Here is a 15,257-nt window from a genome sequence, read left to right as displayed (position 1 = left end):
TACCTGGCAGTAAATTATGTTTTTGATTAATAAAAAATGTAGCAAATAAAATAATAATGTATTACTTAATGAATCCAGTTTGCTTAGTGAAAAGGAACATTTCAAAACATGGTGGTGGTGATGATGGCAAGAGTAGTAAGTGGTAAGAAATGTGAGGTTCCTGGGACCCCAGATAACCCTGGATTCCTTCTGGCCTTTTGTGAATCTATGCCATGAATTTATATCAGGCTACATTTTGCAAATAGGCTCATGCTGGTGTTTTTCCCTGTATTAATTTTTTTTCAAATCCTACTCATTCTTAGAATTTCAAATAGGATTGTGTGGGGCAAAAAGTGAAAGTGCGTGTTGGGTACTACTGTCATGTTTGTAGGTACCTCTCGCTCTTTCTCTGCATATATATTCACGCTTATTGGTAAGAAGTCTCTTCCAAGTACCCTGCACTGCCACCTTGTCTGCCCTTGCTTTTTCCCCAGGACTCCCACCCACAATTCAACAGGACTGTCTCTTTCCTTCTCTAGGGTAAGAGCCAGCATCAGTGCTGATTGGTTGGTATCTGTGCCAGACTCGTTAAATATTTTGAATACCATTCCTGAGTTTCTCATATAAATAGTTAAAAAAAATACAAATGGAATCATAAGATACATGTTATGGCCATCCGTGGTGGCCTATGCCTGTAATCCCAGCACTTTGCGAGGCTGAGGGGGGCAGATCACTTGAGGTCAGGAGTTCGAGACCACCAGCCTGGCCAACACGATGAAACCCCGTCTCTACTAAAAATACAAACATTAGCCAGGCGTGGTGGCGCGTACCTGTAATCCCAGCTACTTGGGAGGCTGAGGCAGGAGAATTGCTTGAACCCGGGAGGTGGAGGTTGCAGTAAGCTGAGACTGTACCACTGCACTCCAGCCTGGACAACAAGAGCCAAATTCTGTCTTTAAAAAAAAAAAAAGATACATGTTATTTGTATGTTGTTTTTCACTTTAAAAATGTGTATGTCGTAGGTACCTTTTTTCATTAGCACATCAAGATATAATATACTTTTTTCTTTATAATGGTTGCATAGTGTTTCATTGTAGGATACATGATAATCTACTCAATCATTATTTGATTGGTGGATATTTACATTATTCTAATTTTAATAGTACATGTAATACTATAGCAAAAAATCCTGATTACTGCATTTTTGAGGACTTTAAATTTTGATAATTATTTTTCAAGAAGGCTGTTTGAAACTGCCCATTTTCCCACTTTTCACCAGTTTAAAACATCTATTTAATTTTGGTCAGTATAATAATTTAAAACATGTAATTTTTATGTTCATTTTGGTAAGGTTGTTTACATGTTTAACTGGCAATTTTTTTTATTATATGAATCATCTCATCTTTTGTCCACTCTTCTTTTGAGTTGTTCTATTTCTTGTTGATTTGTAAGCACTCTTTATAAATTAATGTCATGAATACTGTATCATTACACTGCATTTTTTTTAGTTCTTTGTTTTTTAACCTCATTTAGGATGTTTTCACCATATATGTTTCAAAATTTTTATGTAATCCAACCTGTCTTTTTTTTTGTTTTTTGGGTTTCATGCCATGCTTCCCTACCCTTCTGTCACTCTGCTCCCCTTCAAGAAATAAAGGCAGAGCTCTCTCACCCAAGGGAATTGTCAGGACCCTGAATCTCAGATGTATCTTCTAAACTAAGTTACAAGGTTAGTGCACTCTCCTTGGTGGTATTGGGGCAGGGATTCTTAATTTAGGGGGCTGTGAAGAGATTTTGGGGGTCTGGGAACTTACTCTTTATTTTTACTAGCTGTTAATCAAAATGTATCATTCCTTCCAATTATGAATGTATGCCACAAACCACAGTAGTATTAGTAGAACCTGTGACTTTGTCATTAAATATTAGTTTTTTCCTATCACATTAAAGTTATTACGGATATCTTGAAATAATTGTTTACACTCTTACTACTTTTAGGTCAGATGCTAGATCTTGCCATTTAATGCATTAATAAACAAAAATGCTATTATTTTACACATTTTCTTATGTTTTCATAGCTATATTTTCAATATTTTGATGTCCTCTGTAATTCTATGTTTTGCTTGGTGCATTTAAAACCATTCTTAGGCTGGGCGTGGTGGCTCACACCTGTAATCTCAGCACTTTGGGAGGCTGAGGTGGGCGGATCACAAGGTCAAGAGATCGAGACCATCCTAACCAACATGGTGAAACCCCGTCTCTACTAAAAATACAAAAATTAGCTGGGTGTGGTGGCAGGCGCCTGTAGTCCCAGCTACTTGGGAGGCTGAGGCAGGAGAATCGCTTGAACCCAGGAGGTGGAGGTTGCAGTGAGCCGAGATCATGCCACTGCACTCCAGCCTGGAGACAGAGCAAGACTCCGTCTCAAAAAATAAATAAATAAATAAAAAATAAAAATAAAAACCATTCTGAGGAAAGGGTGTGGGCTTCATCAAACTGCCAAAGAGGAATCCCTCCTCCAAAAGGCAAAAGCCCAGGCAGGAGGCAGCTGGGGCAGCTCCTTCTAGATCCCACCCGCCCATCACTGCCAGCCAATGAGGGGCCATATCACAGCCACGCCTTAGGCCAGGCTTATCCAGCTCTGCATTTTCATTTTTGCAGAAGGGATGTTTTCCTGAGAAAGGAGGTCTTTTCGGTAAGTGCTCAGACTTCCTTCAAAGTGAACTTTTCAGGGATTGGGCTAGAATGTACGATCTGCCTAAGAAAGTTTCCTCTCAGATCCTGCCAGTTCTAGACATGTCAGAGTGCAGGCCTTTCTTTTGTTGCTAGATTCTTAGATTTTTCAGAAACCAGCAAACCAGATTTTATGTAAAATCCTCCTCTGACTGTATGCCTGCCTATCTATACATCAACGCAGAAAACCCAACAATACACTTTTGACCTAAAATCACCTCAGGGCTCATTAGTGGCCGGCATCCCAGCGCAGGGAGACCTGTCCCATACACCTCAGATACACTTCCCTTCAGGAGAATGGGATCCAGAGCAGGTTTCTAAGGTGTGATGCCAGCATTTGGCAGCAGAGGGCACTCCTATTACAGGCTGTCTAGGCTGTGTCCTATTTCCTGAGGTGTAGGAGGGAGACCGTCTGTGAAAGGGGCTGAGCTGGGTCAGAGGGCGGGTGACTAGTACTGGGCTGAGGAGGGAGTGAGGGGCCATTGGGATATTGAAAATCCATCCTCCTGTCCTCCCACCCAGCAGTTATGGGCCAGCTGCTCGGGGTGACAGGAATGTCTCCTGGACTAGCCAGCTAGGGCCAGTCTCCCTTGGTCTATGCACCTGTCCCCACGGCTGATGCCAGAGCTTGTGTGTGCTACAGTAGAGGTGGGCAGCAGAAATGACAGCTTTCCAGTGCCAAGTGATCTAGTCCTCTAGAGGTTGTTGGTATCCTTGGGACTAAGAAAATAACTTGGCACATGATAGGCATGCAGTAACTCCTCCCTGTGTTGAGTGTTGAACTAAGGCCCAGTAAGGGAAGAGTGTGAGGGTTCCATGCATGAGGTCTTAGTCAGCTCAAGATTCAGGATTTGGTTTTTGGCTAAGGTAGATCTGGGTGCATGTCAAGTCTACTTTCTTACACCAGCCCTGCAAAGGAGGGCACCCTATTTACACATGGGGAAATTGAGGCTGGTGGAAATAACATGCACAAAGGTATCCTCAGAACTACTTTCTGCAAATTTCAGGGATACAGTGGGAAGAGAGCTGAGAAGCAAATGTCCTTGGCGATTTCACAGTGTCAAGTCAGGAGTGCACACCACTGACTTGTAGGCCCAGGGCAGAGCCTACATGTAATTTAGCTAATTTGATTCTAACAACTCTTCTAGGTAGAGTTTACTTTTCCCATTTTACAGAGGAGAAAAATGAAAGGTCAGAGAGGCTACGTGACTTTCCCAGGGTTATGTAGCTTGGGAATGTGGAATGTAGATGTGTCTTTGACTCCCAAGGCCTGGACTCTTCTCTTTGCTCTTGTGGGTGGCAGAAAATCCTGGGGTGAAAAAAGTGCCCTGACTAGGAGAAGACGGCAGGAACAAGATCCCCCATCCGAATACATGGTGCACAGATATCCCAACTTAGTCCTGGTCCCTGCTCCATCCACTATTTTTTTTTAATGTTTAAAAAATTGTGATAAACTGTACATAATGTAAAATTTGCCATCGTAACCATTTTCAAGTGTACAATTCAGTGGCATTAAGTACATTCACATTATTGTGCAACCATCACTACCATTTATCTCTGGAACTTTTTCATCATTCCCAAACTGAGAATCTGTACTCATGAATCAATAACTACTCATTCCCCCTCCTCCAGCCACTGGTAACCACTATTCTACTTTCTGTCTCTGTGAATGGACTATTCTAGGTACAAGTGGAATCATACAATATTTCCAGGTATAAGTGGAATAATACAATATTTGTCCTTTTGTGTCCAGCTTATTTCATTTAGCATAATGCTTTTGCCTTGATCTGAATGTTTGTGTCCCTGCAAAATGGGGTTGAAATCCTGACCCCCAAGGTGACGGTATTGGGAGGTGGGGCCTTTGGGGGGTGGTTAGGTCATGAAGGTAGAGTCCTCATAATTGGGACTAGTGCCCTTATGAAAGAAACCCCAGAGAGCTAGCCAGCCCCCTTCTACTAAGTGAGGGTGCAGTGAGAAGATGACAGCCTATCAACCAGGAAACAGGCCCTCACCAGGCACCGAATCTGCCAATGTCTTGATTTTGGACTTCCCAGCCTCCAGAACTGTAAGAAAAAAACTTCTATTGTTTATATGCTACCCACTCAATGGTATTTTGTTATAGCAGCCTGAATAGACTAAGACAGTTTTCAAGGTTCATTCATGTGTCAGAATTTCCTTCCCTTTTAAAGTTAATATTACATTGTATGGATATACCACATTTTGCTTATCCATTAATCTGTCGATAGACATTTGAATTGTTTCCACTTTTTGGCTATTGTGAATAATGCTATTATGAACATGAGTATACAAATATCTGTTTGAATCCCTGCTTTCAGTTCTTTGGGGTATATACCCAGAAATGGAATTGTTGGATCTTTTGGCAATTCTTGTTTAATTTTTTGAGGAACTACCATTCTGTATCCACAGTAATGGTACCATTTTACATTCCCACCAGCAATGCACAGGAGTTCCAGTTTCCCTGCAAGTCCTTGACAACGCTTGTTCCCATACACATTTGCTTTGGCTGCCTCAAAATGTAGAGCTTGGCAGATTGAGATTGTGGTGGGACGAAAGCCTTTGAAATGGAAAAAAGAGAAAGAGGGAGGGAGAAGAGTTGCGGAGTGGAGAGAGAGAGAGTGTGTGTGAAAAGGAGCTTTTTTCCCACTCTTCCCTGACCCTCATGGGGGCTGCAGCGACTCCTAGAACCTTCAAGCAGCGAGACAGAGGTTCCCTCCACCAGGCGCAGAGCTCTCCTTACACCTGGCCTCCTATTCCCAGCAACTTTAAGGAGATATTTTTAAGTGGCCATGGTTTTATCAAATGCCTATTAAGTTTTTGCCACAAAAGGATTTTATTTAAAATAAAAATAGGGGTAGGTATTTGACTGATGCCCCTTGTGAGTGCTCTAGAGAAGAGGAATGAATACTGACATGTCCTATCTTCCCAGATGCAGAATTGTAAAACAAACATAACTGCTTTTCACATGTGAAAGAAAACTGGCTTAGAACATACTAGCGTTTTCTTTGCCATGAAGGAGTTCACCTTCAGTGACTAAGCCAGAACTACTAGAGTTGCCGGGCCTAGGGACAGGAGACATTGCCAGTGCTTAGCCAGGCTGGCCAGGACTAACCATCTCTGCAAGGAGTCCACAAGAAGCCTCAGGGCAGCCTTTCCCTGCTCCTATCAATTTGAGTTGAGCAACAAACATTTTGACCAAATATCAGCTCTATGGCACAACTCACAGTTACGGTGCCCACAAAACGGAATCTCAGCAAAGCAACTACTACTATGGGAAGAGATCAGGGACTAATATCAGGAGAAAAAATAAGTTTTTCAGTCCTGGGTTTCCAAGTTGGCATCCCCAGGGCAAACCAGCAGGTTGGGAGGGTAGGGGGTGGTGGGTGGGGGCTGCGGAGGGAAGGTGGCTGCTGTCTGTCTGATCAGACCTGGGGCACACCCAAAGAACTCTCCTAGCTTGGGATCCGGTCAGGAAGAAACCAGGACGGTCCCTTTAGGAGGGTGGGCAGGGCTATCTGCCCGGGGGGTGCGGCCGCCCCTGCACAGCAGGCTATCGATTGTACCGGAGGCAGGGTGTGGGGAAACCGGGGCAAGTCCAGCCTCTCAGCAAGGCCAGGAAGCCATTCACTTGGATCCTGGATTTTACTAACGGATTAAACGTGGCATTCCCGCCTTCCCCCATCCGTTACAGACCTAAAAATAGCTCGTCCGAGAGGGGCCGGGAGAGGCTCCACCTCTTCTTGAGGTGGGGCGGGGCGGCTGTAGTAGGAGCTGGAGGCACCAGAGACCCCAAGCCACGAGCTGACCGACGCACCGAGGAGCTCTCTGTCCGCGGTCCCGCAGGTTGGCGGCACTGGAGTGGGCCGGGCAGGCTCTGCCTCCGCCGCAGAGAGCGCCCGGACTGCGTGGGGCTGGGGAAGCATCCCGGGAACGGCGGGCGGTGAGCATTCCGGGAACCATCTCTGGGCTGTCTGGGGCGGTGGAGCAAGTCTGGAGGCGGGACGTGGGGCGAGTATGGGAGCCGCCACCTCGAGACGTCTTCCCGCCGTCCCCGGCTCCAGGAGACCCCACGGTGAGCGGGCCGCGCGGGAAAACTATGCCAGGAATTCGTCCCGGGAGCGGGGCGGGTGGGTAGCTTGGCTGCAGTCCGAGGGATCAGCGATTCGGGAGGTTAAACATTAGCGGGGGCGAACTCCCTGCCGGGGTGCAGCGGGGCGCGGGAGGAGCCGGCTGCGTGCGTCCGCGCTGCCCAGGGCGCGCCCTTCTGGCCCGGCGCGGCCCTGCAGCCCGGCCCCCTCGGCCTGCTCCGAACTGCGGCGCCCAGGGAGGGAAGGACCCGTGCGCGGGGGACGAATGACGGGATGCCCCAAGACTCGGCTTCACTGGGAAGACGGCCTTGGGTTTTTACTTTTTGAAAAAAGAAAAGTGATTTGGGAGGGCTTGATGATCTGAGTGCCGTAGGTAAAGGAGGATTCTTTTAGTAATGAGGTGATTTAAAAGCAATCGCATTGGCATCTTTCGTTCCCCTTCTTCCTTTCCTGGGCTGGACCTCAGCAGGAGGCAGACGTGGTATTTTCATCCTGAGGTGGCTGCGCATAAAGTCCACCGAAGACCTGCTCAGTGCAGGACAGGGATCAGGAGGCAGGGCAGAGGAGGGGGTCCGAGGCTGCCTGGGCAGGGCCTAGTTCACGGAGCACTTCCTAGGGGCCCAGGGCCTAGGCTGCCCCTGCCTGGTCTCCTGGAATTCGATTTCTAACAGGACTTTGGAGAGAGGCCTGGGAAGTATGGGGTGTTCTGACTTGGCTTCTCACACCCTCATCTGCAGATAGGGTGGGTGATCTCTCCCTTCTCAGTTGCAGCCCCTAGCACCTCTCCTCCCCCTCCCGGATGTGAGGACTGGCCAGTGAGAACAATCCTGCTTAGGGAAGGCTGATCCTCCAGTCTAGTGGCTGATAAGGGGCCTTCTGACTGTCTTGGTCAGACACCTCCCTCATCTGGGAATATTTTTTGATACTATCTAACTTGATAAAATACCTCATGAAGTTGTATGCTTCAGGTTGGGAACAGAAACCTGAGTTCATGTGGGCACCATAACTGTGGGTTGTGCCATGGAGCTGATATTTGGTCAAAGGTTTTTTGCTCAACTCAAATTGATAGGAGCAGGGAAAGGCTGCCCTGAGGCTTCTTGTGGACTCCTTGCAGAGATGGTTAGTCCTGGCCAGCCTGGCTAAGCACTGGCAATGTCTCCTGTCCCTAGGCCTGGCAGCTCTAGTAGTTCTGGCTTAGTCACTGAAGGTGAACTCCTTCATGGCAAAGAAAACGCTAGTATGTTCTAAGCCAGTTTTCTTTTACATGTGAAAAGCAATTATGTTTGTTTGTTTTACAATTCTGCATCTGGGAAGATAGGACATGTCAGTATTCATTCCTCTTCTCTAAAACACTCCCAAGAGACATCAGTCAAATACCTACCCCTATTTTTATTTTAAATAAAATCCGTTTGTGGCAAAAACTTAATAGGCTTTTGATAAAACCATGGCCACTTAAAAATATCTCCTTAAAGTTGCTGGGAATAGGAGGCCAGGTGTAAGGAGAGCGCTGTGCCCGGTTGAGGGGACCTTTGTCTCGCTGCTTGAAGGTTCTAGGAGTCGCTGCAGCCCCCATGAGGGTCAGGGAAGAGTGGAAAAGGAGAACACCATGGAATCTGAGAATAAGGCTAAGCTCTGCAGTGGCAGTACTTCAGGAGAGCTCCCAGGTCCCTGTCATCTCTGTTGAGGTCTCTGGAGCTCCCTTGCATACTGTGTGTGCATAGCCTGTTTGCAAACTGTGTGAAGGTTTCCTTGGCAGCCACAACAATTAGCATTAATGACACGCCTGAGCTCCCCCAGTGGGCACTGCTGAAGTTAGCTTGGGAGCCAGGGCAGGTTTGTAAATGATTGCCTGGCAGCCACCTTGGAAACTTGGCTCCCTCAAGTTCTCCTCTTGACTGCATTCTTGAGGAAGCAGAAGAGACAGTAAAGTGGTGATGTTGTTGTTGTTGTCTAGCTGTCAGTTTATGTTAAAAAATAAGGTGTTTGGCCAATTTTGAGGGAGTTATTTTTGACAGATTATTGGTGGGCCGGTTTTAGAAGAACCATAAAGTCTCCAGGGATTGTTTCACAGTGGGATGGCTGTCTTGTGAGGTGGTGAACAACTTGTCACTGGGAGTGTGCAAAGCAAGGGTGGTAGATGGGTTTTCTATATTCTAGATGGGTGTGGGATTGTCCCAGGCAGAAACCAACTCTTAACAATGAAGCAAGTTTGAATGTTAGCACAAATATTCTTTTGGGTCCCTTATTCATAATATTGGTCTAGGAATGGGAAGTTTCCCAAAACCCTGTCAATATATCTAAAGGTGATTAAACAGCTTCAGTTTTCCTAATGACAGTGAGTCATTTCTTCTCTCTCTTTTTTTTTGAGACGAAGTCTCACTCTGTCGCCCAGGCTGGAGTGCAATGGTGCGATCTCGGCTCACTGCAACCTCTGCTTCCCAGGTTGAAGTGATTCTCCTGCCTCAGCCTCCCGAGTAGCTGGGACTACAGGCATGAGCCACCACGCCCAGCTAATTTTTGTATTTTTAGTAGAGACAGGATTTCGCCATGTTGGCCAGGCTGATTTTGAACTCCTGACCTCAGGCGATCTGCCCTCCTTGGCCTCCCAAAGTGCTGGGATTACAGGCGAGAGCCACTGCTCCTGGTTGACAGTGAGTCATTTCTTCCTTGTGTTTTTATTCCCAGATGTGGGAAAAGCAGTCTGCTCACAATTCGTCTGAAAAAAGCACGATGTCCTTGCCCCTGGGGTGTATGGTTTCCAGGTAACATGCAACACTCTCATTTGGCTTTTTGTCCGCCTATCCTAATCAGGACGCAAGCTGTGGAGCTGAGTCGGGTTCAGACAAGCCCTGCTGAAATACAGGGAGAATTTAGAATCCCCAACACTAACCCTGTGGTGATTTGCTGTAAACTCTGTCAGCGCTTGCACTTTGGTCAAGAAAACTCAGGTATTGTAATTTCCATAATGGAAAATAATTTGTATATCATTATAATTATCATAATTATTAAGAGTTTGGCATAATTCAAAAGCTCTGGAGTCAGATAGAACTTGGTTTGAATCTTGGCTTCATTATTTAGTAGCTGAGTGAGCAGGGATCTTAGCTTCTCTGAGCCTCAGTTTCTACATCTGTGAGATGAGACGAACCATAGCCATCTACAAGGCTATATGAGTTTAGAATTACTACTTTTAAAGGCAGGCACAGTGCCTGACATATAGATGTTTGATAAATATTACCTATTATACTATCATCATATCATCATAATCATCTTCAAGTTCCACAGTTCTGCTCCATCTTTTTTTTTTTTTTTGAGACAGAATTTCATTCTTGTTGCCCAGGCTGGAGTGCAATGGCACAGTCTCTGCTCACGGCTGACTGCAACTTCCACCTCCTGGGTTCAAGCAGTTCTCCTGCTTCAGCCTTCCAAGTAGCTGGGATTACAGGCACCCACCACCATGCCCAGCTAATTTTTGTATTTTTAGTAGAGACGGGGTTTCACCATGTTGGCCAGGCTGGTCTTGAACTCCTGACCTCAGGTGATCCGCCTGTCTCAGCCTCCCAAAGTGCTGGGATTACAGGTGTGAGCCACCATGCCTGGCCCTGCTCCGTCTTATAATGCCAGAGCTCTAGGACATCTAAGAATTGGACCCTTAGGGTTCTAGAAAAAGACATGAGTAATACTTTTGAGGTACATTAAAACCTCATGAACTCAGACCCCTAATTCTGTGTAGTTGGGAGTGGGGCAGCCACCTTCTGTGTTTATGGAGTATGCTCAGAGTGTAAGTATGAAGGTTTCAGGGCTGCTCAGGAAGCAAGCTCCAACACTGAGGCCATATCTTGACAGTCAGCGTGGGCACTGCGACTTCTCATTGATATGCCTGATTCCACCTGCCGGGACTCCTGCACTCTCAGCTCTTATTACTTGCCCATGGGATTAAACTCTGGATGCAGATGGTCAACAAATAAAGCATTTACTAAGTCTGAGTGGCATTTCCCTCCAATGAGTCCGAATGAAGGATTCCTACTCAGCTTTTACTCTTTGTACTAACTCTTGGCAGTCCATAGCCCCATTACTTCAAGACCCTAAGAATAACAGAATTTTTAAGTCAGATATGCTGAGATTTCAACAATTTTGCTCCGTTCAGTAGCAATCTGGGTGCCAGGTAATGGGCTGGGGACTGGGATACAGCAGATACGAATAAGCCATGGTCTCAGCCCCTGTAAAGTTCACAGCCAGGGGAGTGGGGGAGGAAGGAGACAGAAGCATCCTGGTATGGGCCCTTCCTTGGTGTTCCCAGAGAACCCTTTCCCAGCTCCTGTCTTGGCACTTGCCGCTCTGTGGGTTAATTTCTGTGTATTTTTCTGTCTCTCTGGAGAAAAAAACTTTGGAGCCAGACACTATCACTTACTAGTTGTGTGACTGTGGGAAAGTCATTTCCCCTGTTTGTTTCCTCTCTCTGTTTCCTCTCTTTGATCACACTCTGTTTCTTCATCTGCATAATAGGTTGTTGTGAGAATTAAGTGGGATAATACATGTAAAGCCTTAGCACTGTGTATGGAAAATAATAGAATTCCAGAAATGTGAACTATTTTTATTAACAACGGCAGGGATAGTTGCCCAGGTCAACATTGATCCCGAGTGCCAGTCATGATGCCTGGCACTTAGTAGGGCCTCAGGAATCATTTGTTGATGGGATGGAGATATGAATGTTGCAGAGACACCCTAACAGACAAAGTGTATGCTGTGCGCTCTGGAAGCCCAGGGGAGGGGCAGGGAACTTTGACTGTGAGCGTAGCAGGGATTTATGGTGATAATCATTTATTTATTTATTTATTTTATTGTGGGAAGTTTTTTTTTATTATTATACTTTAAGTTCTAGGGTACCTGTGCACAACGTGCAGGTTTGTTACATTATGTATACATGTGCCATGTGGGTTTACTGTACCCATTAACTCGTCATTTACATTAGGTATTTCTCCTAATGCTATCCCTCCCCCAGCCCTCCATCCCCCAACAGGCCCTGGTGTGTGATGTTCCCCTTCCTGTGTCCAAGTGTTCTCATTGTTCAATTCCCACCTATGAGTGAGAACAGGCCGTGTTTGATTTTCTGTCCTTGTGATAGTTTGCTCAGAATGATGGTTTCCAGCAAGGACTTCATGACTAAAACACCAAAAGCAATGGTAACAAAAGCCGAAATAGACAAATGGGATCTATTTATTTTATTTTTAATTTTACTTTAAGTTCTGGGATACATGTGCAGAACGTGCATGTTTGTTACATAGGTATACATGCATGGTGTTTTGCTGCACCTATGAACCCGTCATCTAGGTTTTAAGCCCTGAGAGCTGGGATATCAGGAAGCCCGGTGTGTGATATTCCCCTCCCTGTGTCTGTGTGTTCTCATTGTTCAACTCCCACTTATGAGTGAGAACATGCTGTGTTTGGTTTTCTGTTCCTGTGTTAATTTGCTGAGAATGATGATTTCCAGCTTCATCCATGTCTCTGCAAAGTACATGAACTCATTATTTTTTATGGCTGCAGAGTATTCCATGGTGTATATGTGCCACATTTTCTTCATCCAGTCTATCATTAATGGGCATTTGGGTTAGTTCCAAGTCTTGGCTATTGTTAATAGTGCTGCAATAAATATATGTGTGCATGTATCTTTATAGTAGAATGATTTATAATCCTTTGGGTACCTACACAGTAATGGGATTGCTGGGTCAATTTGTATTTCTGGTTCTAGATCCTTGAGGAATCGCCACACTGTCTTCCATAATGGTTGAACTAATTTACACTCCCATATGGTGGTAATCATTTATAAGCAGGGCCTTGAAACATGTGTCAACCTTTAATTGGAACAAAAGGAGGTGGCAAAGGACCATCTATACCAAGAGGCAGCATAGAATAGAGGCTAGCCCAGACTGGAGCCAGGCTGCCTGGGTGTGAATCTTGCCTCTGGATCTTGGGCAAGCTTCTTTATTTCTCTGTGGCTTAGATGATAATAGTACCTCCTCAAGGGCTTGTCCTGAGAAATAGATGAGTGCTTCTTTGTAAAGCATTTAAAAACAGTGTCTATACATAAAATAAACAGCCCAGAAGTGTGAAAGTGTGGAAGGCAAGTAATATGGTAAATGGGAGATGCAGCTAGAGAGGTACTTTTGGAAGCAGTTCATCAAAGTCTTTGAATATCACTCAGTGTATTTGGAATTAGCCAATAAGGAACACAAAATCCATTCCCCTGTGGCTGGAGCTCAATAGTGGTTTCCCACCTTAAACAGGGCCTGCACTCTCAGGTTTGCCACAATCCCTAATGTTTCCTAGCCCAGCACTCCACAGATTTAGTGGTTCTAAATCAGTAAGTCTGGGGATCTGCATTTCTAACAAATTCCCAGGTGATGCTGATGCTGCTGGTCCAGAGACCACACTTTGAGAACCACTGCCTTATTGTACCTTGGACAATAAGATGGAGAATGAGTTGCCATTTATCATCACACATGTACTGTGGTTTCTTTCATATCTGCTACATTTTGTGCATTTAATGTTACTTTTCTGGCCCTGGTGGAACTTGGGTTTGCAATTCCTGGCATTATCAGTATGGAATGGTTGGGTATAAGATCACAAGAGACCGAGGGGCTAGAGAGAAAGAGATTTGGGGGTGACTGAGGCTCAGCCTAGAGCAAGCCTATAGTAGCTGAAGCTGTGAGCTCATTCCTAGGGATAGCGTGCAGGGAGAAATGGGTTGCAGGTGGATAGCAGAATATCAAGGGGGCAGTGGCACACCCTGTCATAAAAGAAAGGGGAAAGAATAGCCACTGTTTAAGGAAGAGCATTCAAAAAGGTAGGAGGAGAGATGAGAGAGAGAGTGGCTGATGGAGAGTTCTTGACTTTATTATTAGAGAGAGGACTGTTGGCAAACATCTGACGCCAAAGCTTAAATAGTTAAACAGTGCAGTTCTCAGGTGAGCTCACCTGAGAGCTGGGACATCAGGAAGCAGGTGTCTTATTACCCTTGCCCACAGCATGCCTGGTAACCTGCTGTTGCTCCGAGGCACAGCTTGTTGTGAGTAGTCGTCTCTGAGGCTCTGGTGGCACAGTTGCAGCTTTGGAGCTAAGCATGGTGAGTATCATGTCACCCATCTCTACTCAAAATACAAAAAATTAGCCAGGCATGGTGGCGGGCACCTGTAGTCCCAGCTACTTGGGAGGCTGAGGCAGGAGAATGACGTGAACCTGGGAGGCAGAGCTTGCAGTGAGCCGAGATCGCGCCACTGCACTGTTTCATAACATGGCAGAAATGTGCTAGTCTTCTCATGGCCATGGTGGGGGTGCTTATGTCAGGCTGGTTTTCTTTTTGGAGTACTTGTTGGGAAAGAGTATCTGAGAAAGGGAAGGATGGATCTGAAACTGAAAAGGTGGGCCAGTGGCATCCTGTAGGCAGTCTCAAGACCAGGCTGAGAGGTTTGCGTTTGGTACAGTGGGAATAGGGAGCCATGCTGAGCTCCAGGGTGGGGAGCAGCTGTGTGGTTAATATGGCTCCATAGCCCAGGACCTGAGCTTGGGCTGGGCCCACATAGGCATACTATAAATGAGGAGTGAGTAAATGGATGAATTGGAGGTTTAAGGGATAAAGGATGATAATCTGATCAAAGCAATATTTTAGGAGGAATAGCCCCAAGAATCAATGTTGAGTGGTTCAGAGTCCATAAGCTTTGGTGCCAGATGAACCTACAATTACACTTCAAATCTGGTCTCCTGTTTTCATCCATTTTGTACTGTTGCAACAGAATGACACAGACTGGGTAATTTATAAAGAAAAGAAATGTATTTCTCACAGTTCTGGAAGCTTAAGTCCAATATCAAGTCCAATATCAAGCTTGAAGTCCAATATTGGGCAAGGGCCTTCCTGCTGCATCATCTCCTGGTGGAGAGTGGAAGGTCAAGAAAGCATAAGAGCAAGAGGGAAGGGGACTGAATTCCTCCTTTCATCAGGAACCTACTCCTGTGATAACTAACCCACTCCTACAATAATGACATTCATCCATTCATGAGGGCAGAGTCTTCGTGACTTAATCACCTCTTAAATGTCCCATCTCTCAACACTGCTGCATTGGGGATTGAGTTTTCAACATATGACCTTTGGGGGATGCCACTGAACCACTCCAGAAACCAGTTTCCTTATTTGTAAAATGAGAATAATAATACCTGTTTGTAGGTTTGTATTAGGAGTTTGTATCTAGCACAGAGGGTGACACTCCCTGCAGAGCTGCCATTGTTATCACTGAGCACCTTCCCCTTGCATCTTCTCCAAGTCTCATAGCACCCTGTGAGGTAGGCAGGGCTGGCCTGTCACTGCCTTTCACAGAAGAAGACAGTGGCTCAGTGGGGTCAGGGGCTGTTCCTGGAGGCCCTTCTCTCTCTCTCTTTCTCTCTCTCTCTCTC

The 15,257-nt window shown here is 45.7% G+C and overlaps 1 protein-coding gene across 16 annotated transcripts in view, besides 3 other annotated features; it reads left to right on the top strand.

Moving 5' to 3' along the window:
• Positions 6,207-6,706: an enhancer, noted in NCBI's record as "H3K27ac hESC enhancer chr3:137834263-137834762 (GRCh37/hg19 assembly coordinates)". NCBI's record gives its function as "activates a minimal SCP1, AML or CMV promoter by ChIP-STARR-seq in naive H9 embryonic stem cells {active_cell/tissue: H9 hESC(naive)}" and the evidence as "EXISTENCE:reporter gene assay evidence [ECO:0000049][PMID:30033119]".
• DZIP1L (DAZ interacting zinc finger protein 1 like) overlaps positions 6,519-15,257 on the top strand; it is a 53,619-nt gene continuing 44,880 nt past the window's right edge. For 13 of the 16 annotated variants that reach the window (XR_007095645.1, XR_924113.3, XM_047447642.1 and 10 more), the window contains exon 1: positions 13,876-13,935. Coding sequence is in view for 11 of the 16 variants with exons in the window: in XM_047447642.1 (XP_047303598.1) it covers positions 13,933-13,935 (3 nt within the window). In the remaining 5 variants the exon portion in view is untranslated. Of the gene's footprint in view, positions 6,800-8,646; positions 8,739-9,626; positions 9,764-13,875; positions 13,936-15,257 lie in introns of those variants that run through there. The other 3 variants (NM_173543.3, XM_006713527.4, NM_001170538.1) reach the window with 2 other exon arrangements.
• Positions 6,707-7,208: an enhancer, noted in NCBI's record as "H3K27ac hESC enhancer chr3:137833761-137834262 (GRCh37/hg19 assembly coordinates)". NCBI's record gives its function as "activates a minimal SCP1, AML or CMV promoter by ChIP-STARR-seq in primed H9 embryonic stem cells {active_cell/tissue: H9 hESC(primed)}" and the evidence as "EXISTENCE:reporter gene assay evidence [ECO:0000049][PMID:30033119]".
• Positions 6,865-7,084: a silencer, noted in NCBI's record as "silent region_14763". NCBI's record gives its function as "represses an Ori minimal core promoter by ATAC-STARR-seq in GM12878 lymphoblastoid cells {active_cell/tissue: GM12878}" and the evidence as "EXISTENCE:reporter gene assay evidence [ECO:0000049][PMID:35858748]".

The sequence above is a fragment of the Homo sapiens genome, chromosome 3 (genome assembly GCF_000001405.40).
Source record: "Homo sapiens chromosome 3, GRCh38.p14 Primary Assembly".
In the NCBI taxonomy this organism is placed as follows: Eukaryota; Metazoa; Chordata; class Mammalia; order Primates; family Hominidae; genus Homo; species Homo sapiens.
The sequence above is the reverse complement of the archived record's forward strand: the minus strand, read 5'-3'. Positions and strand labels throughout refer to the sequence as shown.